The sequence below is a fragment of the Homo sapiens genome, chromosome 10, assembly GCF_000001405.40.
Source record: "Homo sapiens chromosome 10, GRCh38.p14 Primary Assembly".
Classification (NCBI taxonomy): domain Eukaryota; kingdom Metazoa; phylum Chordata; class Mammalia; order Primates; family Hominidae; genus Homo; species Homo sapiens.
This window is the reverse complement of record NC_000010.11, coordinates 43,333,372-43,354,647: the sequence shown is the minus strand read 5'-3', so window position 1 is coordinate 43,354,647 and position 21,276 is coordinate 43,333,372. Positions and strand designations below refer to the sequence as shown.

The 21,276-nt window shown below is 50.5% G+C and overlaps 3 long non-coding RNA genes and 1 pseudogene across 4 annotated transcripts in view, besides 4 other annotated features; 2 read left to right on the top strand and 2 right to left on the bottom strand.

Annotated features, from left to right (window-relative positions):
- Positions 1-3,429: 3,429 nt before the first annotated feature.
- Positions 3,430-11,426, top strand: LOC107984226 (uncharacterized). Of its 2 annotated transcripts, XR_001747439.2 has the most exons (3): positions 3,430-4,314; positions 9,831-9,952; positions 11,172-11,426. It is a non-coding gene; the product is annotated as an uncharacterized LOC107984226 (long non-coding RNA). The 2 variants fall into 2 exon arrangements; XR_007062129.1 differs by lacking the exon at positions 9,831-9,952 and having other exon boundaries at positions 3,470-4,314; positions 10,132-11,426.
- LOC105378271 (uncharacterized) overlaps positions 4,342-21,276 on the bottom strand; it is a 31,909-nt gene continuing 14,974 nt past the window's right edge. The window contains exon 3 of the long non-coding RNA XR_945902.3: positions 4,342-4,415. This is a non-coding gene — a long non-coding RNA (uncharacterized LOC105378271). The remainder of the gene's footprint in view (positions 4,416-21,276) is intronic.
- Positions 5,937-6,096: a silencer, noted in NCBI's record as "silent region_2325". NCBI's record gives its function as "represses an Ori minimal core promoter by ATAC-STARR-seq in GM12878 lymphoblastoid cells {active_cell/tissue: GM12878}" and the evidence as "EXISTENCE:reporter gene assay evidence [ECO:0000049][PMID:35858748]".
- RNU6ATAC11P (RNA, U6atac small nuclear 11, pseudogene) lies at positions 12,738-12,862 on the bottom strand (annotated as a pseudogene).
- Positions 14,415-15,073: an enhancer, noted in NCBI's record as "H3K27ac-H3K4me1 hESC enhancer chr10:43835023-43835681 (GRCh37/hg19 assembly coordinates)". NCBI's record gives its function as "activates a minimal SCP1, AML or CMV promoter by ChIP-STARR-seq in primed H9 embryonic stem cells {active_cell/tissue: H9 hESC(primed)}" and the evidence as "EXISTENCE:reporter gene assay evidence [ECO:0000049][PMID:30033119]".
- Positions 15,074-15,733: an enhancer, noted in NCBI's record as "H3K27ac-H3K4me1 hESC enhancer chr10:43834363-43835022 (GRCh37/hg19 assembly coordinates)". NCBI's record gives its function as "activates a minimal SCP1, AML or CMV promoter by ChIP-STARR-seq in primed H9 embryonic stem cells {active_cell/tissue: H9 hESC(primed)}" and the evidence as "EXISTENCE:reporter gene assay evidence [ECO:0000049][PMID:30033119]".
- Positions 16,394-17,053: an enhancer, noted in NCBI's record as "NANOG-H3K27ac-H3K4me1 hESC enhancer chr10:43833043-43833702 (GRCh37/hg19 assembly coordinates)". NCBI's record gives its function as "activates a minimal SCP1, AML or CMV promoter by ChIP-STARR-seq in naive and primed H9 embryonic stem cells {active_cell/tissue: H9 hESC(naive and primed)}" and the evidence as "EXISTENCE:reporter gene assay evidence [ECO:0000049][PMID:30033119]".
- Positions 18,240-20,134, top strand: LOC124902414 (uncharacterized). The gene is made up of 2 exons (XR_007062130.1): positions 18,240-18,662; positions 19,018-20,134. It is a non-coding gene; the product is annotated as an uncharacterized LOC124902414 (long non-coding RNA).

The following is a 21,276-nucleotide window of genomic DNA, read 5'->3' as shown; positions in this document are numbered from 1 at the left end:
TCCTAGCAGGAGCTTAGTCCAAAACAAGGGTCTCCTATAATTTTTATTTATATAATTACTTGGTATTTATGGATTGACTCAATACACACAGCTCACTGCAGTTCCAGGGGCTGCAAAGGGACAGCGCAGAGCTCCTGCCTCCAATGGATGATATCACAGTGGGCTTAGAGTGGGAGGAAGAAATAGATGTGTTATCTTCCCAGTGTTGACTGACGGGTGTAGTGAAGATTCATAAAGCAGGCTGTGAGGCAGAGTGCTGGGGCAGAGAGACAGCTTTCTCAGAGGTCAGAGTCAGTCAGTGAGAGAAACAGGTTTTCTTTTTTTTTTTCTCAGTAATCCTTGATCACTGTTTCTGAAGAAACAGGTTTTAAATATTTATAAGCCATAGTCATAAATTTCTCTTTGCTATTTCCTCCAGTTAAACTGAGCCAATGAAGTAAAATACTTACCCAGATTTTAGATTAAGGCATAATTTATGAAAAGGGTTTCTTATCTCAAACCAGTGGTTCATTCCAATAAATGTCTCTCCACTGAACTCCTTTATCTAAATCTTTATAAAAATAAGTTAGTTATGATGAGATTAAGCATCTGATAAGGGGAATCACTTATTTACTTGGTAGGAGTAGAATAAAAGAATGTTTTTACTGGCACTGAATGTTAAAGTTGAAAGAATCCCACGACACTACGATTTGGAAAGGTCTTGGTTCTGTGTTTGTTGGCATAGAATGTGACCATGAATGTCAGTAGTTTGTAGAGGCTTGTCTGTTAAATAAGTTAAAGAAATTATTGAATTTGTGGCCACCTGAAACCTAGATTCAAATGCAATCAGAGCTCCACATGTATTTGTTGTCTCCACAGCAGTAGCTAATATAAAATACCAACCATTTGTTATTTGGCCTCCCCAGTAAACAAAGGGAGCTGGTAGTGTGCTCTCCTATGATCAGACTACAAAAGAGAAGGAGAAGTGACTCAGAGCAATGTTTACCAAACCAGAAAGAACTATTGAAGAAGTCGAAATTTAGTAAACAATGGGGAAAAAAATCCAATCATGTTTTTAAAAATAGAGCACCAGGTTTTTTCTATAATGTAAAATTAAAATGTCTTGTGGTTTGATGTATAAATTCTTGAGAGCTATTATTTGCCTCTAAGTTCTTAATAAACTGGTAAAATATTTTAATATATTAACTTCTAATGATCAACATTGGGATTTTCCACACTGAGGGTCTGAATTTATAGCCTGCACCACAGAGGAATTGGAGAAACCATTTTGCTCTGAGGGATGGGTAGAGTTTGCTATTTTCCACCTTTTCACTGACACAGGTGATTAGGACCCCTCTAGGTTCCTGGGTTTGGGCAGACTGGGGGTGCATGGGACTCATTTCCAGTCCTAAATTGGCACACCTGCCTTAGAAAACAATCAACATTGTCTCTGAAAGCTGAAGTTGTGCACACGTGGTGCTCAGCAGGGATGCCCCAGGACCGGACACACCTGCCCCTAGAGGAGGAGGGCAGATCTGAAAGTGGGAGCTGAAGTTGGCACCATAGGTAGAGTTATCTCTAAGAAAAGAACACAAGATTAGGCCGGGCGGGCACAGTAGCTCACACCTGTAATCCCAGCACTTTGGGAGGCCATAGGCGGGCGGATCACCTGAGGTCAGGAGTTCAAGACCAGCCTGGCCAACATGGTGAAACCCCGTCTGTACTAAAAATACAAAAATTAACCGGGCAGCACGCAGCTGTAATCCCAGTTACTCAGGAGGCTGAGGCAGGAGAACTGCTTGAACCCGGGAGGCAGAGGTTGCAGTGAGCTGAGATTGCACCACTGCAATCTCGGCTCAAAAGATGGACAGAGACTCCATCTCGAAAAAATAAAAAAAAAATTAACCGGACATGGTGGCGCACACCTGTAAGCAGGAGGCTGAGGCACAAGAATCACTTGAACCCAGGAGGCAGAGGTTGCAGCGAGCCGAGATGGCGCCACTGCACTACAGCCTGGGCTACAGAGTGAGACTCTATCTCTAAAGAAAAAAGAAAAGAGCACAGAATTCTGAATATAATCAGTTTGTCTCAAAGTTTGTATTTATTTATAATGATAAAAGAATGATTTTAGAATGACAAAAGCAAAACAACTGCAAATTTTCAAAAGCATAGCATAACAAAATTCCAAAAGATAAATTTTAAAATTAATTCCCTCATAATTACATTTTGCTGCTACCAGTAACTGCATAATCATGATCACTGCTTCATATGATAATGATTTAGAATATTATAACAATTTCTTTGAGAAAGAATGAAGGATAAACGGGTCTTCTGGTGTGATTGACCCCCTCTCTTTTTTTTTTTTGAAGTGGAGTTTCACTTTTGTTGCCCAGGGTAGAGTGCAATGGCGCAATCTCGGCTCACTGCAGCCTCCGCCTCCTGGGTTCAAGCAGTTCTCCTACCTCAGCCTCCCGAGTAGCTGGGATTACAAGCGCCCGCCACCACACCCAGCTGATTTTTTTTTTTTTTTTTTTTGTATTTTTAGTAGAGACAGGGTTTCACTATGTTGGCCAGGCTGGTCTGGAACTCCAGACCTCAGGTGATCCACCCGCCTCGGCCTCCCAAAGTGCTGTGATTTCAGGCATGAGCCACCATGCCCAGCCGACTCCCTCTCTTAAATTTTTTTTACTAATAGCTTAGAAAATGTGCATTCCAGTTCACCACTTATTATTGCTAACATTTCCCCCCATACCAGTTGCCCTGAATATATGCTCCCCATTGCTAATGTGAAAGTTTTGGATATTGTCAAATTTGGGAAAACCTCTTTCAAGTGTTTTTCACATAGGAGCAGCAAGATTTCAGGGCTCTCACGTTCTCCAGTGCAGTGCAGTCTTGAACATTCTTTGAATTGAGGATGCTCATTAACTACATTGCTGCCACCAAACCCCCAAGAGCCTTGGCAGAGCCCCTGGGTGTGTGTGGGTAGGGGAGGTTTGGGGGGTGTGGAGGGGGCCTGGAACTAGGGTGGGCCCAGCGCTGGGCAGGGGTCTGGGTGTGGGAAGGTGACCAAAGTGTGACAGGGAAAGCTGTGAGGGAGGCCCTGGGCGTGGGAGAGTCAGACATGGGGTGGGGCCGGGACGTGGGGGACGATGGCTAGAGGGTGTGGGGGTCTGGAATGCAGGGGGCCAGGATACTGGGGGATCGGGCATTGCAGAAGTTGCTGGGCACGGGGAAAGCCGGGTGTGGGAGGAGACTCAGGCCATGGGGTGCGGGCTTAGGCGGCCTTGGGGAGCGGTTTTGAGTGTGGGGCGGGCGTGGGGTGCAGATCATGGGCCGGGATCTGAGCTAGGTGGCTGGTTGTGGGTGGGTCGGGCGGGGGAACGGGGGCCCGGGTGTGGGTGGGCCTGGTGCGTGGGGTTGAAGCTTCAGAAACTCCAGTAGTGCAGAAATGTTCCCACCAAGCACTGTCTTTAATAGAAAAAAACAAGGAACGACATATATTTGCACTGACACAAGAAACGTCTCCAGTGACAGGAGAGACCGTCGCGGTGCCGGAGCGGGTTGGGATGGAATTCGCGGTGACCCAGGCACTGACTGGCACGCGCGGCTGCGTGCGGGCACCGAGGAGCCGATGGAACTAGCGCGTAGAGCGCTGTTCACGCGGAGCTCCAAACTCTACAAGGAAGCCCCGAGATGGAGACAATGAAAAACAAGCACACGGTTCACGCTGGGGTCCCTTCGAGCCGCAGGAAAGGGAGAGGCGGCTCGCGGGGCGGCCTGCCGCGAGTTGAGATGCGCTGAGCACCGGGCACAGCGGCCGTTTGGAGAAGCAGACGTGCGGCTCATTCGGGGAGGGCGCAGAGGTGTCTCATGGGGGAGGCGCAGCCAGCTTCTGAAGTGGGAATAGAGGGATTGTTTCCAGGATTAGCAGCCATGGAGAGGGTGGGGGTGCAGGCTGGATAAGGGGCCGTTCTTGCGGATTGGCAGCCAGTTTGGGCAGCTCGGTTGGAGGGGTTGTTCTCCAGTATTACTGGCCATGGTTCGGGCAGCCTGGACTTTATGGGGGAATGCAGGGATTGTTTGGAGCAATCAGCACCCATAGGCTGGGCAGGCTCGATTCTTTATTGGGGGGTGTCTTGCTATGTTACCCAGGCTGGACTCAAATTCCTTGGCTCAAGTGATCCTCCCACCTCCTCAGCCTCCCAAAGTGCTGGAATTACAGGCGTGAGTTGCTGCACCCAGCCTGCTCAGTGACGTTGATGTTAGCCAGATTCCATCTTATCTATGGAAAACGGAAGCACAACAGGTGAAGTTGCCTGCCAAGTCAGCCAGCTGGTAAGTGGTGGGACTAGAATTAGATCCGGGCGGTCAGGTTCCAGCATCTGGGTCTCTGGGCACAGGCAACAGAGTGTTTGTTGAAGAATGCTGAATGTGGCCTACGGGTGGGGGAAGATAAGAGGAAGATTGCAGGTAAATGTCATCTCCTGACTGAGGAGGAGTTCACATCTCCTCCTTCCCCAGGCCTTCAACTGATGGACTTCCCAGCCATCTTCAGGAGGCTGCACTCATGAGGAGGCAGTCCTGGTTCTGATAATAAAGCCTTGGCCACTGGGTGGGGGCCAGATGAGGCCCCAGGGCTGGTCCAGGCAGGTTGGGACAGGTTCTGTTCCTCAGCCAGGAAGGGGTCTTCATCAAAGCCCAGGAAGAGTCACTGGCATCTCCAAGTCACAGTTCTTTAATTTGTATTTTTACAGAGACAGGGTCTCACTTTGTTGCCCAACCTGGCCTCAAACTTTTGGCCTCAAGTGATCCCCCTATCTCAGCCTCTCAGTGTTGGGATTAGGGGTGTGAGCCATCATGCCCAGCAAAGTTCACAGTTTTTTGTTTTTGTTTTTGTTTTTGTTTGAGACAGTCTCGCTCTGTCACCCAGGCTGGAGTGCAGTGGCGCCATCTCAGCTCACTGCAACCTCTGCCTCCCGGTTTCAAGCGATTCTCCTGCCTCAGCCTCCCGAGTAGCTGGGACTACAGGTGTGAGCCACCACGCCCGGCTATTTTTTGTATTTTTAGTAGAAACGGGGTTTCACCATGTTGGCCAGGCTGGTCTCGAACTCCTGATCTCAAGTGATCCACCCACCTCGGCCTCCCAAAGTGCTGGAATTACAGGAGTGAGCCACCATGCCCAGCCAGGTTCACAGTTCTTTATCAGCCTCAGTGGGACAGAGCTGGTTGGGAGGAAACCTCCATTTTTTGTGTGAAAAGGCAAGCATACTCACCAGGAGAATGAGACAGGCAAAGAGACATGGCAGTGGAATTTAGGAAGCTGGGAAACTGGGCCTGCTGCCACAGACAGAGTCCTAGCCCATCCTGGGGAAAGACCCACAGCAAGCCCATTTGTACCAACAAATCCCGGAGGACTAGGATGCAGAGCTCCTGGGAGCTTCTGAAATCGGGTGTTGGGCTGGGGCGGGAAGACTGTCTAGACACCACATGATGGGGAAGGGAAGAGCTCTTCCTGCTAGGGGCTCCCTGCCTGTCTCAGCTCAGGTCAGAGAAGATGCTTCATTTTCCACCATGTCTTGGGGTGCAGGGCCGGGGCGGGGACGGCTTCTGTGTATCTCAGTCCTTCCGCATCTCTCTGGCTTGGTTGGTATTGTCTGGGAGAGTCTCTCTATCTCTCTCTGGGTGTCTCTCTCCCTGTCCTTGCTCCATCTCTCTCTCTCCCTCTGCTGAACTGTTGTTTCCTTCTTTATCTCTGCATCTTTGCAGTGTCCAGGTGTCTCCCAGTGACCCTGCATTTGCTTGTTTCTGAAATTTCTGTGGCTTCAGATGTGTCCCTTTGTGTCCCCTCTCCAGGCCAAGCCAGCAACGCCCCACCCTGGCCACAGCCCCACTAGGCACGAAGCGAGTGGTTAGTGCATCTTGTCACACACACACAGGGCCCTTATTGAGGACTGGCCTCTGCCTCTAGCCAAGAGAGGGCGGTTTTTGTTCATGGAGACAGCTGAGCCCACCTCCTCTGGCCAGAAGGGGGCGGTCTAGGACAGTTCGGCATCAGTTCCACCCTCCCCACTGCTCTCCCTGGTGCAGACTCTCAGGATACAGGAAGTAGATTTTGGGTGTCTGCAAGTTTGCTCAAGCCTGAAGTTTTCTTTAAAAATCCGGACTAGTCCACTAATTGTCATGACATTTTACTTTTTATTTGTTTTTATTTTTGCAGAGACACTTCCAGGTTAGGGAGAGTAGATTTTGAGTGTCTGCAAATTTGCTCAAACTTGAAGTTTTCTTTAAAAATCTGGCTAGCCCACAAATTCTCACATCATTGTAAAGATTTATAAAGTTGCTGGTGTGGCAGCTTTTCTTTGTTGGGCCCTGGTTTCCTCTACTATAACTTGGGGATGATGGTATCATCCATCTCAGGGTAGAGAAGATGAGATGAATAATGCCCCTGCAGGGCTTAGGCCAGCCCTTCGTACACAGCGTGCTCAGTGCACCTCGAATACCATAAACTTCACATTCCTGTATATCCCTTCCCTTCTCCTCACTGGCTGTGCTGCCTCCTGGGTGCCTGCCTCAACAGGCACTCAGTTTCCCCACTGGCATCTTGATACAGGACTGGACAGGACCGGACAGGACCATCTGGAGCTTTTGGTGGGAAAAGCATGTTTTCCTGGTGTCCAGGTGCCTTAACTAAGCTTCCCTAACCATTAAGTATCTGGATATACATTTATTGAATAACTTTATGTATCTTATCTATCAAGAAATGTGTGGCTAGGTACGGTTGCTCACGCCTGTAATCCCAGCACTTTGGGAGGCTGAGGCGGGTGGATCACCTGAGGTCCAGAGTTCGAGACCAGCCTGGCCAACATGGTGAAACCCCGTCTCTACTAAAAATACAGAAATTAGCTGGGCTTGGTGGTGGGCACCTGCAATCCCAGCTACTTGGGAGACTGAGGCAGGGGAATCGCTTGAACTCGGGAGGTGGAGGTTGCAGTGAGCCAAGATCATGCCACTGCACTCCAGCCTGGGTGACAGAGTGAGACTCTGTCTCAAAAAAAAAAAAAAAAAGTGAATATATGGTATTTTTTACCTTTTTCTTTTTTTTCTTTTCTTTTTTTTTTTTTTTTGAGATGGAGTCTCGCTCTGTCACCCAGGCTGGAGTACAGTGGCGCAGTCTCGGCTCACTGCAAGCTCCGCCTCCCGGGTTCACGCCATTCTCCTGCCTCAGCCTCTCCGAGTAGCTGGGACTACAGGCGCCTGCCACCACGCCCGGCTAATTTTTTTGTGTTTTTAGTAGAGACGGGGTTTCACCGTGGTCTCGATCTCCTGACCTCGTGATCCACCCACCTCGGCCTCCCAAAGTGCTGGGATTACAAGCGTGAGCCACCGCGCCCGGCCTTTCTTTTTTTTCTTGAGACAAGTTCTTGTTATGTTGCCCAGGCTGGTCTCAAACTCCTAGGCTCAAGCGATCCTCCCAGGTTGGCTTCCCAAGTCTGGGACTACAGTGCAGGCCACTGTGCCCCATACTTTATAGTATTTCTATAAATAATGTCCCTTTAAACATTATATTTATCCAACTGCGATATATATATGCAAATGTATAACTTTACCAATTTACAGAGAGACATATGTGTGTATATTTGCATATCTATATCTATATCATTTCTCCACTTAGAATTAATTTTAGCACTATTCTACATTTTTTCATCATTCTTTCAATATTTATGTAACCACTATAGTTATCCATTCTATGTATTTATGCATGGTGATTACTAAACTACTCTACATTTCTACGTGTAGGAAGATAGATGTGTAATACCTTTCTTGCTTAGATAGCATGTAAATCCCCTCCATGTTGTATAAATATATTGTATCCTATATGCTTTATATCACTGATGTGTGTACCTTGCCCTGCTCTTTGTGAGGCTCTCAGCCTTGCATATGTGGGCACTGAACTCTTGTGTTGGGAAGTGGCATTAGGAGCCGTCATCTTCTGGCAGGACCTCATGGCTGATACTATACATGTACATATATGTGTGTGTGTGTGTGTGTGTTTGTATGAGTGTGTGTGTGTATATATATATACACACCATACTTTTAACTTTTTTATTTTTATTTTATTATTATTATTTTGAGACAGAGTTCTGCTCTTGTTGCCCAGGCTGGAGTGCAATGGCGCGATCTCGGCTCACTGCAACCTCTACCTCCTGGGTTCAAGCAATTCTCCTGCTTCAGCCTCCTGAGTAGCTGGGATTACAGGCACTATGCCCAGCTAATTTTTTTTTGTATTTTTAGTAGAGACGAGGTTTCATCATGTTGGCCAGGCTGGTCTCAAACTCCTGACCTCAGGTGATCTACCCGCCTCGGCCTCCCAAAATGCTGGGATTACAGGCGTGAGCCACTGCACCCAGCCAAAGTCTTGCTCTGTCACCCAGGCTGGAGTGCAATGGCGCACTCTTGGCTCACTGCAATCTCCGCCTCCCAGGTTCAAGCAATTCTCCTGCCTCAGCTTCCTGAGTAACTGGGATTACAGGCAACTGCCACCATGCCTGGCTAATTTTTGTATTTTCAGTAGAGATGGGGTTTCACCATGTTAGCCAGTCTGGTCTCAAACTCCTGATCTCAGGTGATCTGCCTGCCTACGACTTCCCAAAGTGCTAGGATTACAGGAGTGAGCCACTGTGCCCGGCATTTAACTTTTTTATTTTGAGACAAGGTCTCATTCTGTCACTCAGGCTGGAGTGCAGTAGTGTGATCATGGCTTACTGCAGCTTCAACCTCCCAGGCTCAAGTGATCCTCCCACCTCAGCCTCTTGAGTAGATGGAACCATAGGTGTGAGCCACCACACCCAACCTTATTTATTTATTTAGCACTTTAATTTCTTTCAACAATGTTTTGTATTTTTAAGAGTACACATTTTGCAATTATTTTGTTAAATTTACTCCTAAGACTCCTCTTTTTTTTTTTTTTGAGATGCAGTTTTACTCTTATCACCCAAGCTGGAGTGCAATGGCGTGATCTCCACTCACTATAACCTCTGCTTCCTGGGTTCAAGTGATTCTCCTGCCTCAGCCCCCTGAGTAGCTGGGACTACAGACACCCACCACCATGCCCGGCTAATTTTTGTATTTTTAGTAGAGACAAGGTTTCACTATGTTGGCTAGGTTGGTCTCGAACTCCTGACCTCAGGTGATCTGCCTGCCTCAGCCTCCCAAAATGCTGGGATTACAGGCGTGAGCCACCACGCCTGGCCAACACTCTTTTTTTCTTTTTTTTTTTTTTGAGACTGTCACCCAGGCTGGAGTGCAGTGGCACGATCTCGGCTCATTGCAAGCTCCGCCTCCCGGGTTCACGCCATTCTCCTGCCTCAGCCTCCTGAATAGCTGGGACTACAGGTGCCTGCCACATGCCTGGCTAATTTTTTTGTAATTTTATTAGAGACAGGGTTTCACCATGTTGGCCAGGATGGTCTCGATCTCCTGACCTTGTGATCCGCCCGCCTCGGCCTCCCAAAGTGCTGGGATTACAGGCATGAGCCACCGTGCCCGGCCAGCTTTTCTTGAATAAAGAAAAGAGAGTGATGAGACAGAGAAGCAAATGCCAGCTCAGCTTCAAAGCAGGAGGAGCGAGGAGGCAGGGACAGAGGGGATGCTGGGGGAGTCCAGGGGGGATTTTGGCAGTGCCCATACCCTTCACCATCCCACATCAGAAGTTCCATGTCTTCTCCAGAGCCCAGGGCCAATTTTCCCTTCTCAGGAAAGCCTCCTGACTGCTGGGATCTCACACTCCTCAGCTGTTTGTCTATACCTTTCTGTAATTTTTTTTGAGACAGGGTCTTTGTTCTGTCACCCAGGCTGGAGTGCAGTGGTGTGATCACAGCTCACTGGAGCCTAAAACTCCTGGGCTCAAGAGATCCTTCTGCTTCAGCCTGCCCAGTTGCTGCACAATAGGCATGCACCACCATGCCTGGCTAAGGTAAAAAAAATTTTTTTTTGCAGTGACAGGGTCTCACTATGGTGCCCAGGCTGGTCTTGAATTCCTGGCTTCAGGTGATTTTCCTGCCTTAGCCTCCCAAAGTGCTGGGATTATAGGCATGAGCCACTGTGCCTGGACACACTTTTCTCTTAACTTTACTACTCTGTCTTCTGTGACAGGTGGCTGCTTCCTCTGTACACCTCACCCCAAATCTGAAAGCTCTTGGAAGGAGCAGTGCCTCACACACACCACAGCCATTCTGGTGCCGGGTTGGAGCAGCTGCACATTTATAAACGCCTGCCCATTGCCTGATCTCAGGGTGCCACTGAGGACGAGGGGCCTGTGCACAGCACGCGTGTGATGTGCACTTCTGGGTCACAAGAGTCCTGGGGAGACTCCAGAGGAAAAACCACCCATAGGCACTATGCCATGACCACACCCATGGACAACAGGACAGTTGTGACTCAGTCACCAGGAAGAACGCTGGCCAGAGATGAGAGATTCTGAGGGTGATTTTCTTTCCCTGACCTGATGAGCCAGAGCTCTGGCCACTGCGCTGTCTCCCGGGGCCAGCTGAGAGAACTCCACCTCCAGAGGCCCAGAGCCTTGGAATGGAAGGGTGCAGCTTGCAGGGGCTTCTATTAGGGACACAGAGGGCCAGACACCAATAAACTGCCCTCTGCTTGCTGCCATTAGGGTCAACAGAATCAGTGCTGCGGGGACCAACTCAGCCTGACCCACTGTGAACAGTGCCCTGCTCACGGTGCTGGGAAGATACCAACATTTGTGAAATATGAGGCACATTGTTTTCTATACATTTGGGGGAAAATGGCAACTGTAAAAATGACATAATAGGCCGGATTTGGTGGCTCACGCCTGTAATCCCAGTACTTTGGAGGCCGAGAGGGGCGCATTGCTTGAGTCCGGGGTTTAAGACTGGGCAATATCTCGGAACCCTATCTCTAGAAAGAATACAAAAATTAGTTAGACAGCGGTGCCTGCCTGTGGTCCCAGCTACTTAGAAGGCTGAGGCGGAAGGATCGCTTGAGCCTGGGAGGTGGAGGTTGCAGTGAACTGAGATCCCACTACTGCACTCCAGCCTCGGGGACAGAGCCAGACCGTGTCTCAAAAAAAAAAAAAAAAAAAAAAAAGTAGCAGAGGGTGGAGCTGGACAGACCTGCTGTCCTGTGTTGGTTCTTATTACTGGTATTATTACCAGTGCCCACCTGCTGATTCGGACTCTTAGCGACCCCTCCACAGCACTGTCCTGAGGGTGAAATGAGATCGGGGACAAAGTGCCACCAACTGGAAAAGGTTAACTCAGAACCATCTGGCACCCACCAGAACTTCCTACGCCGGGAGTGCGTCAGAACCAGCCGAGGGTGTGAAAGCGGACACTGTCACACTGTGGTAGGATTCTAAATCATTCACTATTTACATGAGCACAGAAATAAACTAGAATAAGATGTGTTAATTTTCTGTGTTAATTATCACAGACCGCACTCTATCCCCTGGCGGTTCTGCAGGTCGGAGCCGGGTATGCGCTCCTCCTGAAGCGGGCTCACGGGCCTGGCGGGCCCAGGACAAGGGGTGGGGGTAGGAGAAGGGAGGGCTGGGGGCAAAGCAGCCTCTCCCCGGCCTCGCCCCGGGCCCACCAAGCCTGGTGACCCACCCCGCCACCGTCTCCATGGTGACGATAAACAGGCCTCCTCCTTCGCCTTGCCAGCGCCCCCACGTACCCAGTCTCTGGTGGAAACTAGGGAGATGGAACCCTGGGGTGAGGAGCAGGCCCTGGGGTGGAGGGTGGGGGGCCGGAGGGCCTGGCAGGGCACGGGCGGCCTGGGCCCAGCGCAGCAGGCACTGGGGGGACAGGGGGGGAGCCCCCGAGCTTAGCCTGGCAGGGCCGGACCAGCCTGGGCTCCGTTGCTCTCACCGCCTGCACCCCCTTAACCCTGGGCGCGACACCACTCCATGGGCCAAGCCCCAGGACTCCACCCTGCGCAGCACCCGAGCGCATGGCAGCCCGCACACGCTGTCCCTGACACCCTCTGCTGGCTTGCGTCAGCCACTCTCTCAAGGCGTTTTCCTGCCCGACTCTGCACACTCGGCCTTGGTTTCTCCTGAGAGCAGCCATCAGGAGCGCTCCTACTCGCCCGCTGCAGCCTCTGCCCACCTTCCTGCCTCTGGCTCCGGCCCAGCCCGGCGTCCTGTGCACCACGCGGTGAGCTGCTCGCGCCACCGTCCGCGCAGCCTCCCTCCCTCCCTGCCCTCCACTCCTTCAGGTCTCCCCAGTCTCCTCACTCCAGGATGTCCTTCCTGCGCGTCTCCCGGGGGTACGGAGACGGTGCCCCCCGCGGGGAAACATGCTGATTTTTTCTCTTTCTCTTTTTTAATTTTTAGTTTTTAAAAGATTTAAAGGCTGGGCGCCATGGCTCACGCCTGTAATCCCAGCACTTTGGGAGACCAAGGCGGACGGATCACTTGAGGTCAGGAGTTCGAGATTGGCCTGGCCAAAATGGTGAAACCTTGTCTCTACTAAAAATACAAAAATTAGCCCTACTTGGTGGCGGACGCCTGCAATCCCAGCTACTCAGGAGGCCGAGGCAGGAGAATCGCTTGAACCTGGGAGGCGGAGGTTGCAGTGAGCTGAGATCGGGCCACTGCACTGGGATTGTCAGGGTTGGAAATTGTCTCTAAAACATCCACTCCCATTGGTGACCTCATCCCTTCTTCCTGAAGGCACACGGTTCCCAAATGCTCCTCATATAAAAAAAAAAAAAAATTTAAAAAATGAGGGTTAGACGCCAGAAGTAGGTGGGAGCACCTTAACCCTGTGTGTGTTGTCAGGCCTGAGGGCCTCTTCCATCCCTGTCAAGGGGAATGCCAACCTTCTTTCCCTCCATACAGCACGGTTCTCTCCTAAAACCCTCTCTTGACCCCACTTCCATTTGCAACGACCACCTCAGTGCTTTGTGCCCCTTAACAGCAAAGTCACGCTGAGTTGTCCACCTTCATTGTTTCCACTTTCTCTCCTCCCACCCTAAGTCACTCTCCCTCCTTTCCCTCCAACTCCACCTGCCTTTTCCACCCGACCATATCATGGTTGATCATTTCTTTCTGAAATTGTTTGTTTTTTGAGATGGAGTCTTGCTCTGTCATGCAGGCTGGGGTGCAGTGGTGTAATCTCGGCTCATTGCAACCTCCGCCTCCCGGGTTCAAGTGATTCTCCTGCCTCAACCTCCTGAGTAGCTGGGATTATAGGCGTGTGCCACCACACCCAGCTGATTTTTTGTATTTTTAGTAGAGACAGGGTTTCACCATGTTGGCCAGGCTGGTCTGGAACTCCTGACCTCAAGTGATTCGCCCACCTTGGCCTCCCAAAGTGCTGGAATTACAGGCATGAGCCACTGCCGTTGGCCTGAAATATTTTTTTATTGGCCTCCAGCACCTCTGTCCCATGGTTCTCTTACCTCGCTGACCAGCCCTTGGTCTCCTCACTAGTTCCTCATCACTGTCCCAATCTTTTAATGTTGAAATGCCCCCCGGGATTGTCAGGGTTGGAACTTTTCTCTAAAACATCCACTGCCATTGGTGACCTCATCCCTTCTTCCTGAAGGCACACAGTTCCCAAATGCTCCTCATATCCTGGGCCTTTCTCCTCAACCCCAGGCTCTAATGCATTTGTTCCCCCAACATCTCCACCTGGACATCTCCTAGACACCTTGAGCTGAACGTACAGCCACTGATCTCCTTCAAACCAGTCATCCCATTCACCTAGCCAGGATTCTTGCGAACGCCTCATCTCTCACACCCAGCACACCACCCACAAGCAAATACTTCTTGTCAAGGCTGCAGGTACTTCCAGAAATATGAGTCACAGTCCGTGCTTCCTGCATTCCCACTGGTTCCTGCCGTAGCCTCCTGGCCGGACTCCCTGCATGCGCACTTGCTCTCCTCATTCACTTGTCAGCCAAGTCAACAGCAGCTCAGTCATCCCCACCCGTGTCCCTCCTCAGCTGCAAACCTTCTGAGGGCACCAACTTGCCTCAGAATCCAACCCGGAGTCTGCACAGTATTTCCCACGACCCTGTGTGAAGTTTGTTGTCCCCTCTCTGCCTTCACTTCCTCTTCCTCTCGCCCTTGTCCACTCTGTTCCAGCTACACTTGCTTTTCCAGCCATAGCACCAGGCACCAAGAGCACCAGACCTCTCCTGCCTGTAGAGTGTTAACACTGGTTCCCACCCTTGATAGCTCAGCACCTTCACATCTTCCTCTAATATTGCCTGTGAAACCTTCCCTAACTATCCTGTTTTAGAATGGAATTCTGCCACACTCCTCTTCCTTCCCGCCTAATTCTACCCGTAGCATTTTCACTGCCCCACACAATGCCCCAGGCCAGCCTCTCCCATGGCCGGGGCTCCTGTCTACTGCCTCCTACCCCAGCACTTAAAAAAACTCTAATCGTAGGCTGGGCGTGGTGGCTTACGCCTGTAATCCTAGTACTTTTTGGGACAGAGGCAGGCAGGTTGCCTGAGCTCAGGAGTTTGAGACCAGGCTGGGCAACATGGTGAAACCCTGTCTCTACTAAAAAAACAAAAAATTAGCTGGGCATGGTGGTGGATGCCTGTAAATCCCAGCTACTCAGGAGGCTGAGGCAGGAGAATCACTTGAACCTGGGAGGTGGAGGTTGCAGTGAGACGAGATCATGCCACTGCACTCCAGCCTGAGCGACAGAGCAAGACTCTGTCTCAAAAAAACTACAACAACAACAACAACAAAACCACTCTAATCGTTTCTACCCCAAAGCAGAAAGGAGTCCTCCCTCTCTCCCTGACCCTCTCCTACCCCACCCTGAATGAATTTCCCGTCTTATTTCTCCGTGGGGCTCCTCCCCTTGGCTTTCTTCCTGTCTTTATGACTCTCCTCCATACACACACGGCCCCTCTGAAGCCCATTGTCCTCCCCTGCCCCACCAGCCCCTCTGGCGTGGACTCTCTCCCCACTTCTGTAACAAGCCCCGTCGGACACTGCCAGCCCCTCAGGCTGCCGTGTGCATTCTTCTTTCCTTCTTGACACATTTCCGTCCTGAGTGTCTGTTCCCAGCGTGCATCTCCCCTTCTGTCCTCTTGCAGCAGTGTGGTTCCTAGCCCTGGCATCTCTGTGGGCCGTTTTGTCAAGGCTGCTCCTTGGTGCTCCTCGTTCCTGACCTCCTGACCACCTCAATGTGGGCAGTGTGGACTGGTGGTTAAGGAGGTGGTTCTAGTGCCGACTCAGGTGCAGGTCCTGACCCCACCGCTGCATGGCTGCGTGGCTTTGGGCCAGTCTCCTCCTCCTGGAGAGTCACATTCCCTTCCTGACAGTTGGAGATGAGGCCAACGCCTCCCCACTGGACAGCCCTCGGGCAGGGCCCCCTGGACACACTAGCCAGGAAGCCCTGCAGGTCCCCTCCACGTGGCCCTGCCTCGGACCTCAGCTAGCTAGCACTTGGCCTCGTACAGGCCTTTCTGCCTCTTGTGTGCCTGTGTCGCTCTCCTGACACTCCTGGAGGTTGGAGTGGTTTTTTGCCCCCACTGGTACAGCCAAAGCTCAGGGAATGCAGAATTATCCCCTCTTAACATCCATTCTGTTGGATGGAATTTTCTCAAGCACTGCTCTAGCCATGTCTGGTCCCCACCAGAAAACCTCCCCCATGGCCTCCTCTTCCCCTCATAATGTCCAGCACCTCAGCTCCAGCCATAGCATCCCCCTGACCCCTCCCTGTCTCATCCACCCCACCTCCCGCCCATGCAACAGTTCAAATCCACCGTGTGCTCAGTCAGCTTCACTCTTTGTTCTCTCCACACCAGATGCTGTCTGCCCGGCTGGCCCCCCAGGATTTGGAACTGCTGGCACGTCCAAAGCAATACACAGTTTAGGGTGGAGCCCTGGAGCTGCTCAGGGTTAGGCACAGAGGAGTCGTGCTCAGAGGGACTTTCCAAGGTCTCTGGCACTCTGTGCCCATGGGCAAGATCCTCTCAGGACTGAGGCACTCGGTCCCACAGCCACTGGGAAGAGTGGCTACTGGTGGCTCTCAGCTGAGTCCCCTGCAGGAATTACCCGCGGCCCATGGTCATGCCCCTCCTTTTGGTATCTTGGCACCTCCAGTAGCCTGGAAGGGCAGAGTTCCCTTGCCTCAAGGCAGGATGTCCCTGACCAGCCATCCCAGCACCAGAGCTCCCCCAGGGATCGGGCGAGGCCTCCGTTGTGGCATCCTGTCTCCTTCACTCTACCATGGGGGTGGCTCCTGCCTGCACAGGACCAGTTCGAGTTTTCCAGAGAACCTGACCTAGGGGCTTGGTTCCAGGGCAGGTGGAGGAAGCAGGCTCCACGTGGGATGTGCGAGCTGCTTCACATCACTGCTGGCGCTAACCCTGGTGGTGGGTGGCAGGTTGACGCCCCTGGCATGCTGAAGCAGGCGAAATTGTTAGAACTTAGAACCTCCACAGTTGGTGAATTAGAATGGGAGAATGTGCACTGGGGACGCCATGTAGGGGTGGGTTGCCCCTCCACACCTTTGGGTGTTTCTCGTAAGGTGGAACGAGAGACTTAGGAAAGAAAAAGACACAGAGACAAAGTATAGAGAAAGAAATAAGGGGACCCGGGGAACCAGCGTTCAGCATATGGAGGATCCCGCCAGCCTCTGCGTTCCCTTAGTATTTATTGATCATTCGTGGGTGTTTCTCAAAGAGGGGGATGTGTCAGGGTCACAAGACAATTGTGGGGAGAGGGTCAGCAGACAAACACGTGAACAAAGGTCTTTGCATCATAGACAATGTAAAGGATTAAGTGCTGTGCTTTTAGATATGCATACACATAAACATCTCAATGCTTTACAAGCAGTATTGCTGCCCGCAGGTCCCACCTCCAGCCCTAAGGCGGTTTTTCCCTATCTCAGTAGATGGAGCATTACAATCGGGTTTTATACCGAGACATTCCATTGCCCGGGGACAGGCAGGAGACAGCTGCCTTCCTCTTGTCTCAACTGCAAGAGGCATTCCTTCCTCTTTTACTAATCCTCCTCAGCACAGACCCTTTACGGGTGTCGGGCTGGGGGACAGTCAGGTCTTTCCCTTCCCACGAGGCCATATTTCAGACTATCACATGGGGAGAAACCTTGGACAATACCTGGCTTTCCTAGGCAGAGGTCCCTGCGGCCTTCCGCAGTGTTTGTGTCCCTGGGTACTTGAGATTAGGGAGTGGTGATGACTCTTAAGGAGCATGCTGCCTTCAAGCATCTGTTTAACAAAGCACATCTTGCACCGCCCTTAATCCATTTAACTCTGAGTTGACACAGCACATGTTTCAGAGAGCACGGGGTTGGGGGTAAGGTTATAGATTAACAGAATCTCAAGGCAGAAGAATTTTTCTTGGCACAGAACAAAATGGAATCTCCTATGTCTACTTCTTTCTACACAGACACAGTAACAATCTGATCTCTCTTGCTTTTCCCCACATGCCATAGCTCAGTTTTCTGAGAGGTCCTGGGGATGGACGTCAATAAGGCCTGGAGTTGGATGGGTGCTGCTGAGACCATCGGTTAGAGAAAGACAGTGAAAGGCTAAGCATGATTCACCACCAATCACACCATAGCACAGTGTTGGTCACGGGGCCTTGAGGCTGCAGCTAAAGAGACTATTTCCTGCTACTGGAGGGCTAAAAATGCTGAGAATTGAGCCCAGGGCATAATTAGAGAAAATTATGAACTCTCAGTCCTGGTCAGTTTAGCTCCCTCTGTGGGGACAGAGGCTCCCTGAAGCTTGGAATGGGTTCGTCTGAAGGGAAGCACCCAGGTGCCCAGCCGCCACTGACTTGCAAGGCAATGGCCACCCTCAGGGCCAGCCACCTGCTCCTGGTCACACCCGAACTTGAGACTACACTTGGCTGGGGAGGCATTGGGCTTAGTAAGAAAGGGCAGGGACCAAATTCTAAAGAAGCTGCAGGACTTGGCCAAGGTGACTAGGAAGAGCGAGTCAGAGAGAGTTGTGCGTGTGCACGTGTGTGTGGCAGGCCTGAGGGTCCTGGGACAAGGTAGGGAGGGGGTAGAACATAAAGTTGGATAAAGTAGAGTTTATTTTTATTTATTTATTTACTTATTTATTTGAGACAGGGTCTTGCTCTGTTGCCCAGGCTGGAGTGCAGTGGTGCGATCATGGCTCACTGCAGCCTTGACTTCAAAGCAGTCCTTCCACCTCAGCCTCCTGAGTTGCTGGGGCTACAGGCATGTGCCAGCATCACGGGCTAACTTTTTCTATTTTTTGTAGAGATGGGGGTCTCACTATGTTGCCCAGGCTGCTGTGAGAACACTCTTCTAAGATACAGGATATAACATCCTAGAAAGAGCCCAGGAGGTGGGGCCAACATGCTGCCTGTGTAGCCCCTGGAGGCTTGGAGAAAGCATGGCCCTCTCTAAGCAGAGGTGCCAACATTGCTGTGGCAGCCAGGGACATCCGACCTTCCCAGAGCTGTGGAGGTGGCGAATTGAGCAGGTTATTCCTGTGGCCAAGGAGGAGAACAGCCCACAAAGTCATTGCTTAATCTACACAACCAAAAGAAATCCAAGATGGGAGATGGAGGCTGAGGGCAGCTACCCCAGTGAAAAACTTCAGACCAGACCCCAGTGCCTGAAGGAGAGGCTGGGTTTCCAGGAGGAACAACTCCTTCACGGCAGTGAGTGAGTGGTCATGATTCCTCAGTTCTTCCCCAGTGGCACTTATGGCTATTTACTAGAGTTGCCACATACTAGGTAAAGAGGAATTTAAACATTTCAAGTGCTGCTAGACACAGAATCCATCTTGGCATTGATACCCAGGGACCCAAAGCCTTATTGTGGTCCCCTGGTAGTGTTGGGGCTATATGAGAGTTAGGCAATAGAGTTTTGACCCAGGCCCAACTCACTGTAGGTCCACTGCATTCAGGAATCCACCCAGAGGTCCCTTTCCCAGGTTCTATGCATGATTCAATAGACGTATCTGGTGTTTTGAGAGCAGCCACATTGATTTCTTTTTTTTCTTTTCTTTTTTTTTTAGACGGAGTTTCATACTTGTTGCCCAGGCTGGAGTGCAATGGCACAATCTTGGCTCACCACAAACTCTGCCTCCCAGATTCAAGTGAGCTCTGTCACCCACGCTAGAGTGCAGTGGCATGATCGTAGCGTACTGCAACCTCCACCTCCTGGGCGCAAGAAATGCTCCCACCTCAGCCTCCTGAGTAGCTGGGACTACAGGTGTGCACCACCACGCCCGGCTACACCACGCCTGGTCTTGAATTCCTGGGCTCAAGGAGTCCTCTTGCCTCAGGCTACCAAAGTGCTGGGATTATAGGTGACAGCCACCGCACTCGGCCAAAATTGGAAGAATATATATATATATATACCCGGTGAAATAATCACCACAATCAAAAAAATGACTACATCCATCACTGAAAACTTTCCTTATGCCCTTCTGTGATCCTTTTCTCCCTCCCCCAAGGACCCCTTGGAGAGGCAAGGCAATGCCACAGGCAAGCACTGATCTGCTTTCTGTTTGATTCATTTGCGATTTCTAGAATTTTATATAGATGGAATCATACAATGTGTACTCTTTTGTCTGGCTTCTTTCCATTAGCATAATTATTTTGAGATTTATCTGTAGTGATGTGAATATCAATAGTTTATTATTATTTTTTCTTTTTTTCTTTTTTAGACAGGGTCTTGCTCTGTCACCCAGGTTGGAGTGCAGTTCATTCTTTTAAAATTGCTAAACAGTATTCCATAGCATGGATGTGCCATAATTTATGCATTCTTCTTTTTTTTTTTTTTTTGCCCCCGAGATGGAGTCTTGCTCTGTTGCCCAGTGGCTCTATCTCAGCTCACTGCAACCTCCGCCTCCCGGGTTTAATCGATACTCCTGCCTCAGCCTCCCGAGTAGCTGGGATTACAGGCACATGCCACCATGTGCCGCTAATTTTTGTATTTTTAGTAGAGGTGGAGTTTCACCATGTTGGCCAGACTGGTCTTGAACTCCTGACCTCATGATCCGCCCACCTCAGCCTCCCAAAGTGCTGGGACTACAGGGATGAGCCACTGTGCCTGGCTGCATTCTTCTGTTGATGGACACTTGGGTTGTTTCCAGTTTCTAACTATTACCAATAAAGTGTCTATACATATTACTGTGCAGGTCTTGTGTGGACTATGTTTTCATGAAACCTGGGTAAATCCCTACGAGTGAAGTGACTGAGTCATATGGCAGGTTTAACTTTTTTATTTTTGGAAACAGGGTCTTGCAGGCCAGGCGCGTGGCTCACGCCTGTAATCCCAGCACTTTGGGAGGCTGAGGTGGGTGGATCACCTGAGGTCAAGAGTTCAAGACTAGCCTGCCAACATGGTGAAACCCCATCTCTACTAAAATACAAAAATTAGCACATTGTGGTGGCACGTACCTGTAATCCTAGTTACTTGGGAGGCTGAGACAGGAGAATCGCTTGAACCTGGGAGGTGGAAGTTGCAGTGAGTGGAGATTGTGCCACTGCACTCCAGCCTGGTTGACAGAGCCTGGGTGACATGGCAAAACAGGGTCTCGCCATGTTACCCAGGCTAGTCTCTAACTCCTGGGCTGGGCTCAAGCCATCCACCCTCCTCCACCTCCCAAAGCCCAAAGTATTAGGTGTGAGCCACCATCCCTGGCTGTATGCTTAACTTCATAAGAACCTGCCAAACTGTCTTCCGAAATGGTTGTGCCATTTCACATTCCCACCAGCAGTGCATGAATGTCCCAGTTTCTTCACACCCTCACTACCACTTGCCATGGTGAGTCTCTTTGGTTGTAGCCATCCTAGTGGGTGTGTCGCGGTGTCTCTTCATGGTTTCAATGAGTGTTTCCCTAATGACTAATGATGTTGAGCATCTTTTCCTGTGCTTATTTGCCATCAGCTTATCTTCTTTGCTGAGGTGATTCTCCAAATCTTTTATCCATTTTATTTATTTATTTATTTATTTTTGAGACAGAGTCTTGCTTTGTCACCCAGGCTGGAGTGCATCGTCGCAATCTCAGCTCACTGCAACCTCTGCCTCCCGGGTTCAAGCAATTCTCCTGCCTCAGCTTCCCAAGTAGCTGGGATCACAGTTGCGTGCCACCACACCCGGTTAATTTTTGTATTTTTAGTAGAGATGGGGTTTCACCATGTTGGTCAGGCTGGTCTCGAACTCCTGACCTTGTGATCTGCCTGCCTTGGCATCCCAAAGTGCTGGGATTACAGGCGTGAGCCACCGTGCCCGGCCTACCCATTTTTTTTTAAAAAAAAAACAGAAA